This window comes from Homo sapiens, chromosome 2 (genome assembly GCF_000001405.40).
Source record: "Homo sapiens chromosome 2, GRCh38.p14 Primary Assembly".
Taxonomy (NCBI): domain Eukaryota; kingdom Metazoa; phylum Chordata; class Mammalia; order Primates; family Hominidae; genus Homo; species Homo sapiens.
The window spans coordinates 169,587,543-169,611,292 of record NC_000002.12 but is presented as its reverse complement, the minus strand read 5'-3'; the positions used below and the strand labels follow the sequence as shown (position 1 = coordinate 169,611,292).

The following is a 23,750-nucleotide window of genomic DNA, read 5'->3' as shown; positions in this document are numbered from 1 at the left end:
TGGGATTTTTGTGTGTGTGTCTTATCTGTGTTTTCTTTCTTTTTTTCTTTTTCTTTTTTTACAATGAAGAGGTAATTATAAGTTGTTTTATTTGTTTGTTTCTGAGATGGAGTCTTGCTCTGTAGCCCAGGCTGGAGTGTAGTGGCACGACCCTGGCTCACTGCAACCTCCACCTTCCTGCCTCAGCCTCCCGAGTGGCTGGGATTACATGCGCCCGCAAGCACACCCAGCTAATTTTTGTATTTTAGTAGAGACTGGGTTTCACCATGTTGGCCAGGCTGGTCTCGAACACCTAACCTCAAGTGATCCACCCGCCACCTCGGCTTCCCAAAGTGTTGGGATTACAGGCATGAGCCACTGCACCCAGCCATAAGTTGTTTTGTTTAAAAAGAAAATCAGAGATCCACATTATGTGCAATTGGTTGAATAAACTATGGTATACACAAACAATAGAGTACTATGCAGCTGCAAAAAAGAATAAGAATGATCTCTATAAACTGTTATGGAGTATTTTAAGGATATACTGTTAAGTGAAGAGTGAAACAGTATACATGGTATGCCATCTACGGTGTAAGAAAGGGAAAGTGAGAAAATGTATACATGTATTTGCTTATGTTTACAAACAGAAATACAGGAAGATAAACTGGAAATTAGGTTGGTTATTAACATGTATAGATGGAACTGGGGTGAAAAAAAAAAGGAAATGGGAATGGAGTGGAAGGGTTGGGTGGGAGAGACACTTCACAGTATTCTTTTTGTTTTGACTTTGGAAATGTTACTATTTCATAAACTTAAAAAAATGCAAAAAAAAAATATCAAAACTAGGTAGGAAGGAGAACAAAATGAAATATAACCAGAAAGGAATAAACCTAACACATTTTGAGTGAATCACAAAGCCAAACCAAAAAAGAACTAATTTAAGTCACTTTTAAACTTGGTGTTTAACTACCTACACTCAGTCTAAAAACGAAAATAAGGATAAAGAAATAGTGAACTCTAGTTAGTTGGTCTTTCTTTACAGCAGTATGGGATGGCAACTGTTCATTCTAGGAATCAATAAAGAACAGAAATGTTGAAGATAATCAGGCGCCAGATTTCTCACTGTTGAACAGTTAACAAATACAGAATAGGGAAATGACAGAATAATCCACATGGTACTGACAGATTAAATTCCTCACAGAACAAGAGATTTCAAGGCTACCGAACAGAACAAACCTATACCCATAAGATAGGATTTTAAAAACAGGCATTACTGACAACAGGCCTGGTCATAATTTTTTTTGTAGTTGGAATTGGAAATCCTTAGCATTTGGAGGTTACAAATAAATTTTAGTGAGAAGGTGAATTCACAAAGACAGAATCTATGAATAGTGAGAACTGACTGCATTTTATTCTTTGTAATTAAGTAATTTACGGAGAAATACTCTGTAAACATCTAGTTTCTCACTGAAATCACCCCTCTAAATTTAGCATCAATAGAAGATTCTTGCCTGGGTCAGTCATTACTGTGATGATTACAAAATGGTGACTTTTCTAACTCCACCATTCCGTTTAAATTTATTAGTTGACATTCTAATAAGGGAACAGCTTCCCTTCTCTCTCATTATTTAATCATTTATTTATATCAGTGTAGACTGCTGGTTCCTATTTGACCATAAACTGATATTACTGTTACTTATTTTGATGCTGAAATTATCCTAATTTGGCTAGTGGGAAACCTTTAACCTGGCTCCTGTGTTCTCTTGACAAGTCTCCATTATTTCAAAACATTAGCAGAACAATTTAACTTCCCCTCTATAACAATTTTCCCTCTTCAACAATTTTGGCCAGGTGCCATAGCTCACATGTGTAATCCCAGCCTGGAGTCCAGCCTGGGCAACACAGGGAGACCCCGTCTCTACAAAAAAATTAAAAAATTAGCCAGGTGTGGTGGCACACACCTGTAGTCCCATCTACTTGAAAGGCTGAGGTGTAGAGGATTGCTTGAGCCAGGGAGGTCGAGGCTGTGGTGAGCCATGATTGCAACACTGCACTCGCCTGGGTGACAGAGCAAGACCTTGTCTCAAAAACAACAACAAAAAAATCAATTATTTGTTCCCCTTCCTTCAACAATTCCGTCCCTCATAGATTCCTCTCCTATTTATTAGTAATCAATGGCAGGCACACAGAGAAATGACAGACCAAAAACGGGATTTTTTTTTTTTTTTTTTTGAGACAGTCTTGCTCTGTCACCCAGGCTGGAGTGCAGTGGCGCAATCTCAGCTCACTGTAAGCTCCCCCTCCCGGGTTCACGCCATTCTCCTGCTTCAGCCTCCCAAGTAGCTGGGACTACAGGCGTCCGACACCATGCCCAGCTAATTTTTTTGTATTTTTTAGTAGAGACGGGGTTTCACCGTGTTAGCCAGGATGGTCTCGATCTCCTGACCTCGTGATCCGCCCGCCTCAGCCTCCCAAAGTCCTGGGATTACAGGCATGAGCCACCGTGCCCGGCCCAAAAATGGGATGTTTTAAATCATCAGATAATAAATACTTACATGAAGAACTGTGAACCATTTGTATCCTTCCCTCTGTTGGCCATTGACAAGAGAAATTCTTTGTTGTGTTTAACAGCGAAACTCTCGTCTATAGAGAAGTAAAGTTTTCAGTTACATTATAGATATAACCTCCAAAAAAATTTCATCTTCACTTCTATTCATATCTGATGTATTATTTAGTGCCACACACAACTTACTTAGATAATAAAGTTAGGTTATGAAAGAAGAGAATCAAATATGAATCAATTTCCCCTCTCATCTTTTTTTTTGAGATGGAGTCTCGCTCTGTTGCCCAGGCTGGAGTGCAGTGGCCCAATCTCGGCTCACTGTTAAGCTCCACCTCCTGGGTTCACGCCATTCTCCTGCCTCAGCCTCCTGAGTAGCTGGGACTACAGGCGCCCATCACCACGCCCAGCTAATTTTTGTATTTTTAGTAGAGACGGCATTTCACCGTGTTAGCCAGGATGGTCTCAATTTCCTGACATCGTGATCCGCCCGCCTCGGCCTCCCAAAGTGCTGGGATTACAGGCATGAGCCACCGTGCCCAGCCTCCCCTCTCATCTTTTTAAGATTCAAATATTATTAATTTTCTATTATTTGCTTATAAAACCCAAATATTATCTCAATCCCCTTCCTTTCCATTTATATTTGTCCTTCACAATTTTTGGAAAAGATAACACCACTTTATTTAAATAAAAAAATGAAACTATCTTTAAAAAGCAAGAAACAGCTGAGCACAGTAGTGTGGCTGTAGTCCTAGCTACTCAGCAGGTTGAAGCAGGAGGATCACTGGAGCTCAGGAGCTTGAACCTAAAGTGCACTATGATCACACCCATGAAAAGCCACTGCATTCCAGCCCGGGCAACACAGTGAGATCCCATCTCTTAAAAAAAAGAGTGAGACAGTCCAGATTAGATTCTTTTACATTTCATCTGTTTCATTTCTGAGCACACAGAGTATTATTTAGTCTGGACTCATTAACTTAACCTCTGCCATAGCATCACTTACCGCAAAAGGAGGAATTTGTTTTCCAATCTTGGGTTAGAATATTAAGAACAAATCATGTAGAATTTTAAACAACATTTCACTAAATGTCAAAAGTGAAGGATGAAAAATATTAAATTATTTCCACATTAAATATGCTTATAGACCATTTTCCAAATGGTCTTCACATCAACAAAAAAATTCCAGCAAGAAAACTTAAATTTTTGGAAAATATTATAGTCAAATTTTAGAATATCAAAGATTTTTTAAAAATGTTCATAGAAAAAATGACCTAAAATTTGGATGTTGTAAGAAATATTGCTGAATCTCCTTTAATAAAAGTTAAGATTGACCTACGGAAGTTCCTATTCTATCATTAAAATTCTAAGAATTAAGTACAGATCATTGAAACCCTTTCAAATCATGTTGTAAAAATGTCCTAAGAAGAAAAAATACCCATCTGTATAAAAAGCAATTTTTTTTACCAGAAAATTAACCTTCAGATTAGTTGAAGGCAGCTAGACATTAGTATACCCTTTAATGAATAATGTTATTGATTCCATAGAGAATAAAATAGAATAAAAGACAAAATATTTAAAACATAATATAAATGTAAACATTTTTACCTTCAAAAAATCCTCCATAGATAGATTCCCCTCCTCGTCCATTTCCTAAAAATGAAAAACATACTCTTATAACTCTCAGTAAGCTCCTCAAAGGTGATACCTAAACAAAATACTTCTTGTAAAGTAGATTTTTGAATAATTTTGAATTAACAATATTCGAAGATTGCAGCAAATCATAAAAGATATTAATGTCAATAACGACAAGGTCCCAAATTACTTTCTTTCCCCTATGCTATGATAGCAAGAATGTGACGAAGACTATTAAAATATATTTTAAAAAAGAACTTTCAGATTCTAATTATGATTATGCAGGTCTTGCAACAGGTTAACATTTTTTCAAAGTTTTTTAAAACTATAGTTTTGATATTTTTACAATAAAAAAGTAAAAATTTTTATTGTAGTAAGGATTACCACTTGTGACAAAATCAAACAGAAACACTTGACAGATTACTGAGATGAATGCAGTGTTGTTTTGTATCCAGAAGCCTATTTCTGAAATTCATGTGTCAAAGGCAAAATTATTTTCTATGAGCTTCCTTCTTTTTTTTTTTTTTTTTGAGACAGAGTCTTGCTCTGTCATTCAGGCCGGAGTGCAGTGGCACAATCTCAGCTCACCGCAACTTCCACCTTTCGGGTTCAAGCCATTCTCCTGCCTCAGCCTCTCAAGTAGCTGGGACTACAGCCACGTGCCATCATGCCCAGCAAATTTTTCTATTTTTAGTAGAGGCAGGGTTTCACCATGTTGGCCAGGCTGGTCTCGAACTACTGACCTCGTGATCCGCCCACCTCGGCCTCCCAAAGTGCTGGGATTACAGGCGTGAGCCACCGCACCCAGCCTATGAGCTTCCTTCTTTTACATATTTCTATGAGTACTTCTAATTGACCAAAGATTAAATGGAGTGAGAGTGACAAGAATATTGGACTAAAACTTCTAGGGACTTGTCTAACTTTGAGATCTGTGATATTTAACAGAAAATAATACATGATTTTTCCAAGTCTCACCTTCACTGAAGTCACCACCTTGAACCATAAAATCCTTGACAACTCTGTGAAAGAGACAACTCTTATAATGTAATGGTTTCTGAGTTGATTTCCCGGTCCCCTTTTCACCTATAGAGATAAAAAAATAGGACATTTAATAGAAAGGAAATCAAAGTAGTATGAAAGCAAAATAAATGTAAAATATGCCCCTCTTGAACCCTGCAGACTTAAAATCATATTTTCATTCCTTTCAGGAATTTTTTTTTAAAAATTCATTTAAAAAATCACCCACGTTATTTCTGGAGAATGTAGAAATCACTCTCAAATAATATACCTTTACAACTAATGTTTGGTTTTAGGTTTTTTTTTGAGACAGAGTCTAGCTCTGTCACCCAGGCTACAGTGCGGTGGCACGATCTTGGCTCACTGCAACCTGCGCCTCCTGGGTTCAAGTGATTCTCCTGCCTCAGCCTCCTGAGTGGCTGGGATTACAGGCACCTGTCACCACACCCGGCTAATTTTTTTTTTCGTAGAGACTGAATTTCACCATGTTGGCCAGGCTGGTCTCAAAATTCCTGACCTCAAGTGATCCACCCACCTCGGCCTCCCAAACTGCTGGGATTACAGGCATGGGCCACCACACTTGGCCTCTATTTTTTTAATTGAGACAGGATCTCACTCTTGTCGCCCAGGCTGGAGTGCAGTGGAGTGATCTTGGCTCACTGCCACCTCCGCCTCCTGGGCTCAAGCGAATCTCCCGCCTCATCCTCCAGAGTAGCTGGGACTACAGGCACACACCACCATACCCAGCTGATTTTTTGTTATTTATTTTTTTGAGACAGAGTTTCACTCTTGTTGCCCAGGCTGGAGAGCAATGGTGCGATCTTGGCTCACTGCAACCTCCATCTAGGGTTCAAGTGATTCTCCTGTCTGAGCCTCCCGAGTAGCTGGGATTACAGGCACCCACTACCACGCCTGGCTAATTTTTATTTTTTCAGTAGAGATGAGGTTTCACTATGTTTGCCAGGCTGGTCTCAAGCTCCTGACATCAGGTGATCTGCCTGCCTTGGCCTTCCAAAGTGCTGGGGTTACAGGCGTGAGCCACCACGCCTGGCCGATTATTTGCATTTTTAGTAGAGATGGGGTTTCACCATGTTGGACAGGATTGTCTTGAACTACTGACCTCAAGTGATCCACCCACCTCGGCCCCCCAAAGTGCTGGGATTACAGGTGTGAGCCACCATGCCCAGCCACACCGTGCCCAGCCATAATATTTCTTTCTTTTTTTTTTTTTAGATGGAGTCTCGCTCTTCTAGCTCAGGCTGGAGTGCAATGGCACGATCTCGGCTCACCGCAACCTCTGCCTCTCGGGTTCAAGTGATTCTCCTTCCTCAGCCTCCCAAATAGCTGGGACTACAGGCGTGCGCCACCACATTTGGCTAATTTTTGTATTTTTAGTAGAGATGGGGTTTCACCATCTTGGCCAGGCTCGTCTGGAACTCCTGACCTCGTGAGCCACCCCCCTCGGCCTCCCAGAGTGCTGGGATTACAGACATGAGCCACTGCGCCTGGCTGCCCAGCCATAATATTTCTAAGAATTACTTTCACGCCCTAGTCACTGCTGTGTAATCTTCATGTTAAGAGAAAAGTAATATGCATGGAGAAATCTAAAATAGAGTAAATAAAAAATTAAAGCAAGCTATGCCAGGTGTGGTAGCTCACACCTGTATCCCAGCTGAGGACGCTTATGTGTAAGGATTGATGAGCCCAGGAGTTCTAGTCCAGTTGGACAACGTTGCAAGATCCTGTCTCAAAAAAAAAAAAAAAAAAAAAAAAAAAACCAAGCAAGCAAGCAAGCCATAGTCAACTGAGACTACTATTAGGGCAGTTGAAAATGTGAACAAACCTGTACAAAGACAACGAAAGTTCTCGCATGTTTTGGGGCACACATCAGAAAATAATTCAAAGACAACTCTTCCAGCTGAAAAAGAAGGTAGTTGGTTAAACTTCTTTACTAATTTAAAATATTAAACACCCATTTATAAATGTCAACTAATATTCTTACCAGGTTGATTGTTAATGGCAATGTCAAAAAAACATCGAGGACGTTGAACCTTTATTCCCATGGCTCCAATACTTAATCTGTGAGTAAAATACAGTTTCAGACAAGCAGACTAAAATAGCAAAGATCTTTCACAAATTTCTGGAAAAAAAATTCTGTGAAACAATATTAGAAATATAGTTTGAATTTATTTTGATATTTATTTCTATGAGGTAAATCACATGGATTATTAGTGCTTTCTTTTTAGAGATTAGATTGCATTTTGTGAAGCAATTAGAAAAGACTTGAAAGTTAAGCCTTAACCATTATTATGTAATCAACTTTCTATTTATCAACCGGAATACAGATTAATAGCTCAAACAGAAAATTGTATTTACTCTGTATGATTAGTGAACTCAATAAGCAGATTACCTTCAAATGAAGAAAAGACCAAAAAAAAACAAGGACAACTGATCCCTGTGCTCCTAGAAAACAAAAATGAGAGTTCTGATTAAAATGTGAGATTTTTAAGAAGCAAAAATCATGTAAGAAGAAAAAGAATAGTATATAGTTAATATACTATTTAACTATTGTTAAATAGTATATAGTTAATATACTATTTAACTATTGTTAAATAGTATATGTGGTAGATTTACATTTTGAGTAAAAGCACATTCAATTTTACATATGAGGGTACTTGCTGATTCTGAGCAACAGCCTTTACTGATATGCTGGTATAGACACAAAAAATACCAAAGAGATACTCTGTGTAACAGCTTTATTTCCATAACAGAAAGCTATTATTTAACAGACATTATTTTGATAAGGCATTTTATTTTAAGGACTTAAAATGCTGAATCGTAATACTTGGTGGAAGATGATACTTACCCGTAGAAGAAACAAAGGCACTAAGTGTAAATAGTATCCAAAATGATGGACTCTAAAAATGACAGTTTCATATGCTATGTACGCTATGTTATATTTCAATAAAAATTTACTTTATTAAAAATAATTAATATATCTAAGACAAAACTCTTTATTCTTCTACCTCCATTCCCTTGAATACTCAGTAAACATTATCATTGTCCAAGCCAGCTGCTGAGGCTGAAAACCTGGGGGTCATCTTCGGTTCCACTTTCCCTCATACCTCATTATCCAAACCATTAGGAAGGTAATTTGGCTCTAGCTTCAAAAACTATCCCAAAAGTTCTCATTACCTTTACCATTATCATTTCTTATCTAGGCTATTCCAATAGCCTCCTAACTGGTTTCTCTTATTTTACTCTTAATTCTGTACTGCCTCTTCTGCACAAAATAGCCAGAGTGGAATGATTCTTTTAAAACACAAACCTTATCATATCCTTCCCCTGCCTAAAACTGTCTTACTATTCATCTGAAAAGTTTTAGCATGGATTTTAAGGCTCTAGACCAGCACTGCTCAATAAAAACATGAGCCACCCAGGTATAAAATTTTTCAGTAGCCACATTTTGACAAACAAAAACAGGCTAATTTTGGGCCGGGTGCGGTGGCTCACGCCTGTAATCCCAGCACTTTGGGGGGCTGAGGCGGGCGGATCAGGGTCAGGAGTTCGAGACCAGCCTGACCAACATAGTGAAACCCTATCTCTATTAAAAATGCAAAAATTAGCCGGCTGTGGTGGCGGGTGCCTGTAATCCCAGCTACTCAGGAGGCTGAGGCAGGAGAATTGCTTGAGCCCGGGAGGTAGAGGTTGCAGTGAGCCAAGACTGCACCACTGCACTCCAGCCTGGGGGACAGAGCGAGACTCAAACAATCAAACAAAAACCAGGCTAATTTTAATATATTCTATTTAACTCAGTATGTACAGATTGAATATCCTTTATAGGAAATGCTTGGGACCAGAAGTGTTTCAGATTTTTTTTTTGAATTTTGGAATATTATCATACACGAGATATCCTGGGGATGGGACACAGTTTAAACACAAAATTCATTTATATTTCAAACATACCTTATGCATACAGCCTGAATTGTATGTGTAATTTTATACAACTTAAAAAATAATTTTGTGCATGAAACAAAGTTTGTATTAAGTACTTATGTGTGAAATTTTCAATTGTGATGCTCAGAAAGTTTACATTTTGGACCTCAGATTTTCAGATTAGTGATGTTCAACTTGTACAACCAAACTATTACCACTTCAAAATATACTAAACAAAAATGTTACTGAGTTTTTTTTTTTTGTACAAGTCTTTGGAAATCCAGTGTATATTTTATCCTTGAAGCATATCTCAATGTAGACTAGCCACATTTCAAGTGCTCAAAAAGCACATGTGGCTTGTGGCTACTGTAATTTCAATTATACGGCTCTAAATATTTTAGCTCCTGTTCACCTCTAGGCATTTTCCTCAACTTTCATTTCCTAACATCTTCTAATATTTTCCTCAACTTTATTTCAGCTACATTGGTATCCTGCTTGTTCCCCCTGCCACCCAACAGCCTACTCTTTCATCAGGTCCTTTACATTTGCTGTTCTCTCCACCTGGAATGCTCTCAAACCATCTTCACATGGTTCATCCCTTTGTTGCTCAAGTATCACCTTCTTATAGAGGCCCATTCCTAGTCTACTGTATTCAAGAAAGGAGCTCTCATCCTCCTAACACTTTACATCCTCTTATTCTGCTTTATTTTTCTTCCAAGCATTTATTGCTAATTGATATTCAATTTTTATATCCATCTTCTCTCACTAGAATATAAGTTCCATGATGTGATAAACCTGAATTTTCAGTCTTATTCTTACTGCTCAAACAGTGCTTGGCATATGACAAGAAATCAGTGTTTATTAAATGAATGAATAAATGTGAGAGGATAGGCATAAGTGAGAATGTAAAATTGCAGTAACAACAACAAAAAAATGGAAACACTCAAAATATCTTACAATGGGGAGAAACTGAACAAATTACGGTATAAAATGCTATTTAATACTATATGGCAGTTTCATTGTAACACAAGCCAAGAAACCTACTGTTTAGTTCAAAAGAAACAAAAAAGTAAATTGTACATAAGTATTTCTTTTAACACCATAAAACAATACCCTATTTCTACAAAGAGAGATCTTGAAAATACTATATATACCAAACTCCTCACAGAATCTCTGCAAAAGGGACTGAGTCTAGGAATGGAAGTCATTGGGGGCCTTCAGCTTTACGTATAAGGTTTGAATTTTTGCAATAAGAATATGTTCATGTATTAGTTTTTCAACTTAAAATTCATAAAAGTTTAAAATGTATCTGCACAGTAAAACAAAATAGGAAATAAATGAAAATATTGAGTCTATCTCTAAGTAAATGAGTTATAGGTGATTTTTATTTTAGTTTTTGCATTTCCTAGGTTGTATACAGCAGACTTATGAAAGAAACTCAGGTAAGCATGTAATTTAAATCTTCAATTATATATTTTTTTCTTTTTTCTTATTTTTGTTTTTGTTTTTCAATGACATTTTTAAAGTGTCTCACTGTCATGATTACTACATCATGATTGAGCATCCTAAATCTGAAAACCCCAAATCTGAAATTTTCTGAGTGCCAAAAAGACACCCAAAGGAAATGCTCATTGGAGCATTTTGGATTTTCAGAATTGGAAGGTTTAACTGGTAAGTATATTGCAAACATTCCAAAATCTGAAAAAGTCAGAAATCCGCAATAATATGGTCCAAAGCATTTTGGGTAAGAGGTACTCAACTAGTGCTGCTGTTTAACATGTAAAGAGCTTAGGAGGCTGGGAGCAGTGGCTCACACCTGTAATCCCGGCCCTTTGGGGGGCTGAAGCAGGCAGATTGCTTAAGTCCAGCTGTTCGAGACCAGCCTGGGCAACATGGCAAAACCCTGTCTCCACAAAAAATACAAAAATTAGACAGGCATGGTGGCACATGCCTGTAGCCCCAGCTACTGGAGACGCTGAGGTGGAAAGATCACTTGAGCCAGGGAGGCGGAGGTTGCAGTGAGCCAAGATCAAGCCACTGTACTCCAGCCTGGGTGACAGTGAGACCCCGTTTCAAAAAAAAAAAAAAAATTTTTTTTTCCTCTCACAAAATGTGTACCTCCCCACAAAATAGAAACTAAGAAAAGTACTTGCGAATATTTACCTGAACCCTGGATATGAAACAGCTTTTTAGATTCACTAATGAAGTAAATAATGGAGATAAACAGATTTGAACTTATGAAAAAAATTATTTCTATTTGTCTATGTGAAATTAAAAAGAAAAAAATTGGGGAAAATACATTGTCATAGTTGCTGAGAATATTAATTTTCTTAAGCAGTGCTTAGGAATGGGGGCACTAGGGCAATTCATTGAGTAGGGTTATCCAACTCACTGCAGAACCTTAAGCAACCCTTGCCCTATTAAATATCAGTCACTGTGACAACCAAAACCTTTCACTGTCTGTCTATCAAATTAAAGCTCAAAGGACACCTAAGGGTGTATGAGCAGAGAATTCACAAAAAGTGAAATAACAAAAAAAAACATAAAAGGCACCAGCAGTTTTGATAAGCAACTTGGCATTACAGGCCAAGAATCTTGAATATATTCATATTCATTGTACCTTTTAACATTTTACTAATTCTATGTACTGGAATATCTGTAAAGGCAACCATTTAAAATAAAATAGTCCTTGGGTTTTTTTTTAAATAACAGTAAGCACAAACAACTTAAATGTCTAACACAATAGTTAAGTAAATTAGTTTGTGATGGACTGCCTAAGAAAATAAGCTTTTTAAAATAACATGAAAAAATGTGTTAAATGCCACATGAAAAAAGATAATTGTACAGTAGTAAGAATTACTTAAAAAATACCCCCATGAAATGAAATACTATCTATGAGAAATCATAATCTTACATATTAAAATTACAAACGTAACATTTTTTCACCAATTGGATTGACAAAAATAAAAAATGACCTCATTTATTGTTGCTGCTGGTAAAGGGATAAACTGATAGAATTACTTGATTGCCAATTTGACAACAAATATCCATATTACAAATGCATTTAAGACTCTCTGACTCAGTAATTCCACTTCTAGGAATTTACTTTATGTACATCCTTACACATTCGCAAAATAAGATATGTGCAAGGTTATTCAATGTACCATAATTTGTAGTAGTAAAAGGCTGTAAACCTAAATGTCCATAAAGGAGGAACAGGTTATAGAAATATAAACCTGTATTTATATAAATATAAATATTTACCTATATTTACATAAATATATTTACCTGTATTTATATAAATATATTTACCTGTATTTATATACATATAAATATTTACCTGTATTTATATAAATATAAATATTTATAATACTTTGATAAATGTATATATAATTTGATATATAATACAAAATAATTTAATAAATATAAATCAGGTATACCACTGTATACCTGTAGAAAGTACAAAGCTATTAGAAAGAATGAGAAATCTGTTCATTTACTGCTGTCTCCAAGATAGGGAGAACTATTTCCTAAAATCTGTAAATGTTAACTTATTTTGTTAAATGAAAAAGAAAATAAGCCAGGCGCGGTGGCTCATGCCTGTAATCCCAACATTTTGGGAGGCCGCTTTGGGTGGATCACAAGGTCAGGAGATCGAGACCATCCTGGCTAACACGGTGAAACCCCGTCTCCCCTAAAAATACAAAAAAATTAGCCGGGTGTGGTGGCAGGCGCCTGTAGTCCCAGCTACTCAGGAGGCTGAGGCAGGAGAAAGGTGTGAACCCGGGAGGCAGAGCTTGCAGTGGGCCAAGATCGCGCCACTGCACTCCAGCCTGGGCGACAGAGCAAGACTACCTCTCCAAAAAAAAGAAAAAGAAAATAAAAGGCTAGATGCAGTGGCTTACACTTTAGAAGGCTGAGACAGGTGGATTGCTTGAGTCCAGGAGTTTGAGACCAGCCTGGGCAACATGGCAAAACCGTCTCTACAGAAAATATAAAAATTAGCTGGGCATAGTGATGCATGCCTGTAGTCCCAGCTACCTGGGAGGCTGAGGCAGGAGGATCATTTGGGCCCAGGATGCGGAGGTTGCAGTGAGCTGAGATTGTGCCATGGCACTCCAGATTGGGCGACAGAGTGGGACCCTGTATCAAAAAAAAAAAAAAGGTTGCCCAGGCATGGTGGCTCATGCTTATAATCCCAGCACTTAGGAAGGCTGAGGCAGAAGGATTGAAACACCAGGCTGGGAAACATAGGGAGAACTTTGTTTCTATTTCAAACAAACAAACAAACAAACAAACAAACAAACAAACAAGCAAGGTACAGAAGTGTGTAGGATATACTGTCTTTGTATATTTTTAAAAGAAGAGAGAGCTGGGCGTGGTGGCTCATGCTTGTAATCCCAGCACTTTGGGAGGTCAAGGCAAGTGGATCACCTGAGATCAGGAGTTTGAGAGCAGCCTGGCCAACATGGCGAAACCATGTCTTTACTAAAAATATAAATAATTAGCTGGATGTGGTGGCGCACGCCTGTAGTCCCAGCTACTCGGGAGGTTGAGGCACAGAATTGCTTGAACTCAGGATGCGGAGGTTGTGGTGAGCCAAAATTGCACCAGTGCACTCCAGCCTGGGTGACAGAGTGAGACTCTGTCTCAAAAAAAAAAAAAAGAAAAGAAAAGGAAAAAAGAAAAACGAGAGAAAAACGAAAGTGGGGCCAGGCATGGTGACGTGCACCTGCAGTCCTAGCTACTCAGGAGGATCAGGTGGGAGGACTCTTTCAGCCGAGGATTTTGAGGCTGCAGTGAGCTATGGTAGCATCACTGCACTCCAGCCTCAGACCATCTCCAAAAACAAAATTAAATTAAATTTTACAAGTATGTATTTGCTTAACAAAAAGGCATCTAGGGAGAGAGAAAATGGGTAACTGGAAAAGAGGGCTAAGATTTTTCACTTTATAACCTCATATTTTCAATTTTATACCACATGAATATATTATCTATTAAAAATTATTATAACATATCCCACTCCTAGGTATACACTCAAAAGAAAGGAAATCATATATCAAGGAGATATCTTCACTCCTATGTTTATTGCAGCACTATTTACAATATCCAAGATTTGGAAGTAACTTAAGTATCTATCAACAGATTACCAGATAAAGAATATGTGGGCTGGGTGTGGTGGCTCCCGCCTGTAATCTCAGCACTTTGGGAGGCGAAGGTGGGCAGATTACCTGAGGTCAGGAGTTCAAGACCACCCTGGCCAACATGGTGAAATCCTGTCTCTACTAAAAACACAAAAGTGAGCTGAGCGTAATGGCGCATGCCTGTAGTCCCAGCTACTCTCAGGAGGCTGAGGCAGGAGAATCGCTTAAACCCGGGAAGCAGAGGTTGCAGTGAGCTGAGATTGCGCCACAACACTCCAGCCCAGGCAACAGAGTAAGACTCCGTCTCAGAAAAAAAAATGGACCAGGAGAGATATTAGTGCTGGTTGCGTGGCTCCAAAGGCAGACACTGTTGGGGGACTGCTGCATTAGGTGACTCCTGGAGCCTTCAAGTCTTCAATTTTCTTTAGGTTTCATGGGGAGTGAGGCCCTTCAGGCTGCTGAGTGTTACAAGAAAGTTCTCCGCTTTCCTGCCTCACTGAGCAGTCTAAAGGAGGTGAGGTGAGCTTTCTGCTGGCATTACTTCTGGCACCATCTGCTTTTCCCTAAGGCCAAAGTTTCCCTGGGATCTAGGGGTTTAGGCCACTCAAAACACAATTTTCGGCCGGGTGCGAAGGCTCACGCCTGTAATCCCAGCACTTTGGGAGGCTGAGGCAGGGGGATCACTTGAGGTCAGGAGTTCCAGACCAGCCTGGCCAACATGATGAAACCCCATCTCTACTAAAAATACAAAAATTCACAGGGCATGATGGCGTGTGCCTGTAATCCCAGCTACCTGGGAGGCTGAGGCAGGAAAATTTCTGGAACCCAGAGGGCAGACAGAGGTTGCAGTGAGCCAAGATCGCGCCACTGCACTCCAGCCTGGGCAAGAGTGAGACTCCGTCTCAAAAAAACAAACAAAAAGGCCGGGCGCAGTGGCTCAGGCCTGTAATCCCAGCACTTTGGGAGGCCGAGGCGGGTGGATCATCTGAGGTCAGGAGTTCAAGACCAGCCTGACCAACATGGAGAAACCCCATCTCTACTAAAAATACAAAATTAGCCGGGCGTAGTGGCACACGCCTGTAATCCCAGCTACTCGGGAAGGCTGAGGCAGGAGAATCGCTTGAACCCGGGAGGCAGAGCTTGCAGTGAGCCAAGATCGCGCCACTGCACTCCAGCCTGGGCAACAAGAGCGAAACTCAGTCTCAAAAGCAAAAAACAAAACAAAACAAAAAACTGTGATACATATACACAACGGAGTACTATTTAACCATTAAAAAGAATAAGATCCTGTTATTTGTAACAACATGGATGGAACTGGAAGGTCATTATAGTAAGTAAAATAAGCCAGGCACAGAAGGACAAACTTCACATGTTCTCACTTATTTGTGGGAGCTAAAAATTTAAACAATTGAACTCTTGGAGATAAGAGAGTAGAGAGACTGTTACTAGACACTTGAGAGGGTAATGGGGACTGGAAGTGAGGATGGTTAATGGGTGCAAAAAAATAGTTAAGAATCAATAAAACCTAGTGTTTGCTAGCACAATGGGGTGACTAACGATACTCAAAAAAAATTTAATTGTATATTTAAAAATAAAGAGTATAACTGGATTGTTTGTAACAAAAAGGATAAATGCTTGAGAAGACGGATACTTCATTCAGTCTAACGTGATCATTATGCATTGCATGCCTGTATCAAAATATCTCACGTAACCCATAAATATACCTACTATGTACCCACAAAAATTAAAAATTAAGAAAAGGGTAACTTTTAAGACACTGAAAAAACTTACTATAAAAATGAATAGGCCAGGCGCAGTGGCTCACGCCTATAATCCCAGCACTCTGAGGCGGGTGGACCACCTGAGGTCAAGAGTTCGAGAACAGCCTGGCCAACATGGCAAACTCCATCTCTACTAAAAATACAGAAATGAGCTGCATGAGGTGGTGGGCACCTGTAATCCCAGTTACTCAGGAGGCTGAGGCAGGAGAATCGCTTGAACCCGGGAGGCGGAGGTTGTAGTGAGCTGAGATCATGCCACTGCACTCCAGCTTGGGCAACAGAGTGAGACTCCATCTCAAAATAAAATAAAATAAAATAAAACTGCCAGGCATGGTGTCTCACGCCTGTAGTCCCAGCACTTTGGGAGGCCAAGGCATCACTTGAGGTCAGGAGTTCAAGACTAGCCAGCCCAACATGGTGAAATTCCGTCTCCACTAAAAAATACAAAAAAATTAGCTGAGCGTAGTGATGTGCACCTGTAATCCCAGCTACTTGGGAGGCTGGGACAGGAGAATCTCTTAAACCCAGGAGGTGGAGATTGCAGTGAGCCGAGATTGTGCCACTGCACTCCAGCCTGGGTGACAGAGACTCTGTCTCAAAAAAAAAAAAAAAAAAAAAGAAAAGAAAGAGTAAAACTGAAGAAGAAAAATTACCAGATTGTTCATGAATGACAAAATAGTCATACCAGGTGAAAAAAGCAAGTTAGTAAACAATACAGACTATAAAATCCCAATTTCACACGTATCAGTAAGCACATTAAAAAGACAGGATTTACACCATAATGTTAGCAATCATCATGTGTGGGCCATGGGTTTAAGGGTAATTTTTAATGTATTTGTTTTCCAATTTTTCTTCAATTTCGTAATCAGGAAACAATTATTTTTAAAAAAGTACTAATAAAATGCGTTTTTTTTTTTTTGCCTATCAACAGCAAAGATCTTTTAAAAGAATAACTCTCAACACATGTACAAATGGAAACAGGAATTTATACTACTACTAGTGATCATATACAACTCCTTTGAAATTTAAGAATATGAGAAATTCATAAGTGTTTATACTTTGAACCAGTAAAATTCAACTGTTGGAAATCTATTATGAGGAACTACTCTAAATTCAGAAAGCCTTCAGGTATAAAGTTGGCTACGCTGGTGCTCTTTTTAGCAACATATAATCAAAAGCAACCTATCATAATATCACAAAAAAGTGAAATTGTCTCTGGTTCAACAATAATTAAAGCAATGCTTATGAAGATTAATAATTTGGAAAAATAATCAAGATATAAAACAGTGGGCCGGGCGTGGTGGCTCACACCTGTAATCGCAGCACTTTGGGAGCCCGAGGCAGGCAGATCACAAGGTCAGGAGATCGAGATCATCCTGGCTAACATGGTGAAACCCCGTCTCTACTAAAAATACAAAAAAAAAAAAAAATTAGCCGGGCATGGTGGCGGGCGCCTGTAGTCCCACCTGGAGGCTGAGGCAGGAGAATGGCGTGAACCTGGGAGGTGAAGCTTGCAGTGAGCCGAGATCACGCCACTGCACTCCAACCTGGGTGACAGAATGAGACTCCGTCTCAAAAAAAAAAAAAAAAAAAGATATAAAGCAGCATATGCAACATAATGATGATTGTGTAAACTACTCCCGACCTTCAAGCTCAGGCAAAGACTTACAAGAAGACAAAAAAAGAGTGAAAGGAAATAAATCATTATTGTGTGTGTCTGTAAGACTGGAGAGGGCTTTTGCCTCACTACTTCTTTCTAGTTTTCTTTAATAAATGTACTGCTACTTTGGGAGGCCAAGGCGGGTAGATCACCTGAGGTCAGGAGTTCATGACCAGCCTGACCAATGTGGTGAAACCCCATCTCTACTAAAAATACAAAAAAATAGCCGGGCATGGTGGTGGGTGTCTGTAATTCCAGTTACTTGGGAGGCTGAGGCAGGAGAATCACTTGAGCCCAGGAGGCAGAGGTTGCAGTGAGCTGAGATTGTGCCATTGCACTCCACCCTGGACGACAAGAGCAAGACTCTGTCTCAAAATAAATAAATAAATAAATAAAATAAATAATAAATGTACTGCTATTATAAAGAAAAAATTCCTAAGATATATATATATATATACACACACAGTCTTCTAACATTATAATGTACATGTGTGGAAATGGCTATAAGATGTATTCAGAGTCTATCACTCAAGGATACACTCTTCATAGAAATTGATTAGTTTTCCTGAAATGACAAATCACATATGCCTCAAATGCAAGAAAGATGAAAGGCAGCAAATTACTATTAAAATTACTACACAAATCCCTTGAATATGTAAATGTTTTAATATTAGCAGCTAATGAAAAACAATGGTGACAACAAAAGATGGCTCACATGCTGTGTCGCTAACATTACTGAAATGCTACTAATTACTAATCATTATAAAAAGTTACTAATTACTAATCAGAAACAGTATATCCTATTTCCTCTATAATTATGATTTCCTCGATTATTAAATAATACCTGAAATCACGGTGGTTCACACCCGTAATCCCAGCACTTTGAGGGGCGAAGGGAGGAGGATCACTTGAGCCCAGGAGTTCAAGACCAGCCTGGTCAACATAATGAGAACGCATCTCTATTAGAAAAAAGAAATCTGAGCCAGGCACGGTGGCTCACGCCTATAATCCCAGCACTCTGGGAGGCCGAGGCGTGCGGATCACAAGGCCAGGAGATTGAGACCATCCTGGCTAACATGGTGAAACCCCGTCTCCCCTAAAAATACAAAAAATTAGTTGGGCGTGGTGGTGGGCGCCTGTAGTCCCAGCTACTCTGGAGGCTGAGGCAGGAGAATGGCGTGAACCCGGGAGGCGGAGCTTGCAGTGAGCAGAGTTCGCGCCACTGCACTCCAGCCTGGGTGACAGAGCGAGACTCCATCTCAAAAAAAAAAAAAAAAAAAGAAAAAAGACATCTGAAACCAGATGCAGTAAGACAAACATCTGGTCAATTTTTCATTTTTTTTCAAGTAAAAGTAAAGAGAAAAAATAATGCTAGGAGATACCAAAAACATGATTCAGGGGAAAATTAAGCCCTTACAATTTTAAATAAAATATCCATGACCAGCCTGGGCAACAGCAAGACCCCATCTCTATTAAAAAAAAAATGACAATTAGCTGGGTGTGATGACCCAGGCCTGTGGTCCCAGCTACTTGGGAGGCTGCGGTGGGAGGATCATTTGAGCCCAGGAAGTTGAGGTTGCAGCGAGCAGTCATCATGCCACTACACTCCAGCCTGGCCAACAGAGTGAGACTCTGTTCAAAAAAAAAAAAAAAAAAAAAAAAATCATGAATTGCCTAAAAATACTAGAATATAATCAAAATTTTCAGTGTAGTAGTAATCTGTGGGTGATTTGTTTGCTGCAAATTTGTTTAGTATGAACTACAGCTAAAATCCAGACAAATTTTTCTTGGAAAAAAAAAAATCACAATATGTGGCACTGTGCCCCATTTCTACACAGCAATCAGCATAGTCTGCTCCCAACAGATGACATATATATGTTCTAGTTTGACCTAATTCTAGCTATTGCTTATTAGCTGTTAAAATTTATTGTCTACTTGACCTCATGTACTTACCTCACCTGCTTGACTCCTTCAGAAATTTAAGTATAATATACTGAATCTACTTTTTTCATCATAATGAAAACACATTTTTAATAAGATAAGCAATAAAGCTAATAAGCTCACTGAAAAAAATTAATCATACAAAATGCACAAAATTCTAAAACTTAGCTATAGCTTTTAATACTTTTATTATATTCTTGTTTTTCCTATGCAGGTGATTAAAGTTATTTTTAATATTTATCAACAATATAGTCACTTTTGTATTTCAATAATAAGGTAATACAATTTAAAAATATCACAGTGCTATCATTTATAAACTTCTGCAACAAACACATTTCATAAAAAAATCAGTAAGAGGTAACCAGTTCATGTGTAAAAAAATTTATCCTTGTAGTTTCATACATAAACTATTTTCCATATTAATCCTAAAATAACATGACTAAATGAAAAACAGGACAAAAATATAGGCAACTAATTATTAAAATATATAGTAGCGGACATGGCATTTATAAGTAGGCATATGGTAACTTTATTATATTTTAAAGTTATTTGGAAGTTTCACACATTATGAGGAAGTCAGCATAGCACCGAGTTTCTAATCTAGAAAAAATACAAAGTAAATTATTTCTATTTTTAGAGACAGGGTCTCGCTATGCCGCTCAGGCTGGAGCACAGTGGTAAGATCACAGCTCACCGCAGCCTGGAACGCAGTGGCTCAAGCAATCCTCCTACCTCAGCCTCCCGAGTAGCTGGGACTAAAGGCGTGAGCCACCACCTCCAGCTAATTTTTAAAAATTTTTTTGTGGATATATTGCCTAGTCTGAGTAAATTATTTTTAACGATTAAGATGCCAAGCAAGTCTCTGACCCTTAGGATTCTCCTCACTGATTCCCGTGTGTCCTTTTAAGATGCAAATTAGCCAGATAATTAGTTAGCCAGAGTTCACTCTCTGGGAACTTCACGCTGACTCTCTAAGGTCTGTTTGTTTGTTTGTTTTTCTGAGAGGGAGCCTCCCTCTGTCACCCAGGCTGGAGTGCAGTGGCGTGACCTCTGGCTCACTGCAAGCTCCGCCTCCCGGGTTCACGCCATTCTTCTGCCTCAGCCTCCCGAGTAGCTGGGACTACAGGCACCCGCCACCACGCCCGGCTAATTTTTTGTATTTTTTTAGTAGAGATGGGGTTTCACCGTGTTAGCTAGGATGGTCTCGATCTCCTGACCTGGTGATCCGCCTGCCTCGGCCTCCCAAAGTGCTGGCGTTACAGGCTTGAGCCACTGCTCCAGGCCCTGACTTTCTAAGGTTTAAATGATCCTCCCTTGTTAAATGTTACTCTTTTATCATAAACTCCAACAATTCGAAACCTTTGTATCTTCAACACCAAACACAGTGACGTTATCAAATAAAAAGAATGTTAATTGAGGCATGAACAGAACTAGACTCTATTATAATCCAGTGCCTATCCTCTTAAACATGTACTGCTTGCTTCCTTTTTCTTTTCTTTTCTTTTTTTTTTTTGGTTGTTGTCGTTGTTGAGACAGAGTTTCGCTCTTTCTTGTTGCCCAGGCTGGAGTGCAATGGTGCAATCTCAGCTCACCACAACTTCTGCCTCCCAGGTTCAAGAGATTCTCCTGCCTCAGCCTCCCGAGTAGCTGGGATTACTGGAATGCGCCAGCACACCCGGCTAATTTTGTATTTTTAGTAGAGACGGGGTTTCTCCATGTTGGTCAGACTGGTCTCAAACTCCCAATCGCAGGTGATCCGCCTGCCTCAGCCTCCCAAAGTGTTGGGATTACAGGCATGGGGCCACTGCACCCGGACTGCTAGCTTCTTAAATGGGGATACTGCTAACATATATCTGTAGTCAGTAAATTCTCCCAGAACCTACCACCAGTAATCATCCTCTCTGCCTCCTCCACAACTGAAACAGAACCCATTCCCTAGATCTACTAGGAAGTGTTTTGTTTCCCAAAAAAACAACCCCCCCCAAAAAAACCCCAAAACCAGAATCCACTTCAGTTTACAACCAAGAAAGAAAGGATTATTCTTATCTGCTAAATTTGATGAAACAGGAGACAATTTATATATAAGATTTCCACCTCTTAAGTGAAATCATGTAAGTTAAATTAATTAAAACTATAGCAGATCTTTAATATTACTTTCAAGGAAAGTAATTTAACATTCCTACCAGCCTCTTTAGCCTACTCTTAATGTAGTTCATATAGATCAAATGAGAAACGAAAATGCACCGCATCAAAAACATTTGAGTATATTTACAAATGCCAAGTTGCTAATGAATAAAGTAGAAACAAGCTAACATTCTGAGGTGTCAAGACAGACAATTATGCTATTTCATGTAGTGTCCCTTCCACTGATGTTTCTGATGGACACAAACCACCCTGATGCAAACCACTGCACTGGTAGCAACATGATTAGCAGAGTATAGACACTTCTGAAATTCTTAAATCCTCTAGAAAACTTACAGAGATAACCCATAATGTTGCCTAATTCAGTGTTAAATAAGGATATTACGCACTTACTATATATACGATCTGAGAGACATAAAAATATAATACATCTTTGTCACTACCAAACTACAAAAGCAAATACTAACTGGGAACTCACGGCTAATACTCTTAATGTTGTACTTGCAATTATCTAAGGTTTTTTTTTTTTTTTTTTTTTTTTTGAGAGGGAGTTTCGTTCTTGTGCCCAGGCTGAAGTGCAATGGTGCGATCTTGGCTCACTGCAACCTCCGCCTCCTGGGTTCAAGCGATTCTCCTGCCTCAGCCTCCGAGTAGCTGGGATTACAGGCATGCGCCACCATGCCCGGCTAAATTTGTATTTTTAGTAGAGACAGGGTTTCTTCATGTTCCTCAGGCTGGTCTCAAGCTCCGACCTCAGGTGATCCACCCACCTCGGCCTCCCAAAGTGTCGGGATTACAGGCGTGAGCCACTGCACTCCGCCTGATCTAAGTTCTTATAATAATAAATTTACCAAAACCAAAAACAAAAAAGAAAAAAGATTTACCCCCAGTTTTCAAAGATATATACATATATACACACAGTTCTAACCCCATTATTCAATCCAGTAATTCCTACGTAAAAAAATAAGAACATTTGGAGTTTCAAGGAACTCTAAGAGATAACCTGATCCAATCTTCTGATTTTATAGATCAAGAACAAGAGGACAAAAGAGATGAAATGAGTGGCTCAAGCTCACAAATGGAAAAAAGCAAAAGTTCTGATTTAGTACTTTCTACAATTTCACGGTAAAAACTAGTTTACTCACAAATATTCCACATAATGGCTTAATATTACTTTTCACCATATAACCATGATTCAATGGTTTAATTATAAGCTAAAATGTATACAATAATTAACAAGAGCTTAGTATATACACACACACACACGAATATGCTTCGTTCATTTTTAAAACGAGTTAAGGAATCATTCATATTTTTATTTTTATTTTTAATTTTTTGAGATGGAGTTTCGCTCGTTTCCCAGGCTGGAGTGCAATGGCGTGATCTCGGATCACTGCAACCTCCACCTCCCGGGTTCAAGCGATTCTCCTGCCTCAGCCTCCCGAGTAGTTGGGATTACAGGCATGCACCACCAATGCCCAGCTAATTTTTGTATTCTAAGTAGAAACGGAGAGACGGGGTTTCTCCATGTTGGTCAGGCTGGTCTGGAACTCCCGACCTCAGGTGATCCACCCGCCTCGGCCTCCCAAAGTGCTGGGATTTCAGGTGTGAGCCACCACCCCCGGCCATCATTCATGTTTTTAAAATAATCATTTTAATATAAAAGATTGGTGTTTATAAGTGTTATATAATCAAATTTCAGTAAGCGTGTGATCATTTTAAGCCATTATTCTAAAACAAAGTTCAAAAGTTTTCTTGTCTGCTGCTAGAAGTACAAACTCCCAATAACAGCAGTTTTCTCTGAATACTGTCTGTAGTAAATTTCAGGATGCAAGTTTTTCCCTACAGAAATAAAAATACCGAGTTCTTATGGTGACCATTTATGCATTAAACCAGGGAAAATCACCGACACTTAAGCAACATGAAAATTGAAGTTTAGTCCTAACATTAAAAGCAAA

General features: G+C 39.0%; 1 protein-coding gene across 4 annotated transcripts in view; it reads right to left on the bottom strand.

Moving 5' to 3' along the window:
* The window catches only part of PPIG (peptidylprolyl isomerase G), a 57,056-nt gene that overhangs the window by 30,114 nt on the left and 3,192 nt on the right, over positions 1–23,750 (bottom strand). For all 4 annotated transcript variants that reach the window (XM_005246967.2, NM_004792.3, XM_017005302.3 and 1 more), the window contains exons 2-7: positions 7,599–7,651; positions 7,191–7,267; positions 7,032–7,106; positions 5,147–5,254; positions 4,145–4,189; positions 2,535–2,622 (exon numbers count right to left, since the gene is read on the bottom strand). In XM_005246967.2, the coding sequence (XP_005247024.1) occupies positions 2,535–2,622; positions 4,145–4,189; positions 5,147–5,254; positions 7,032–7,106; positions 7,191–7,251 (377 nt within the window). In that variant the 5' untranslated portion in view covers positions 7,252–7,267; positions 7,599–7,651. The remainder of the gene's footprint in view (positions 1–2,534; positions 2,623–4,144; positions 4,190–5,146; positions 5,255–7,031; positions 7,107–7,190; positions 7,268–7,598; positions 7,652–23,750) is intronic.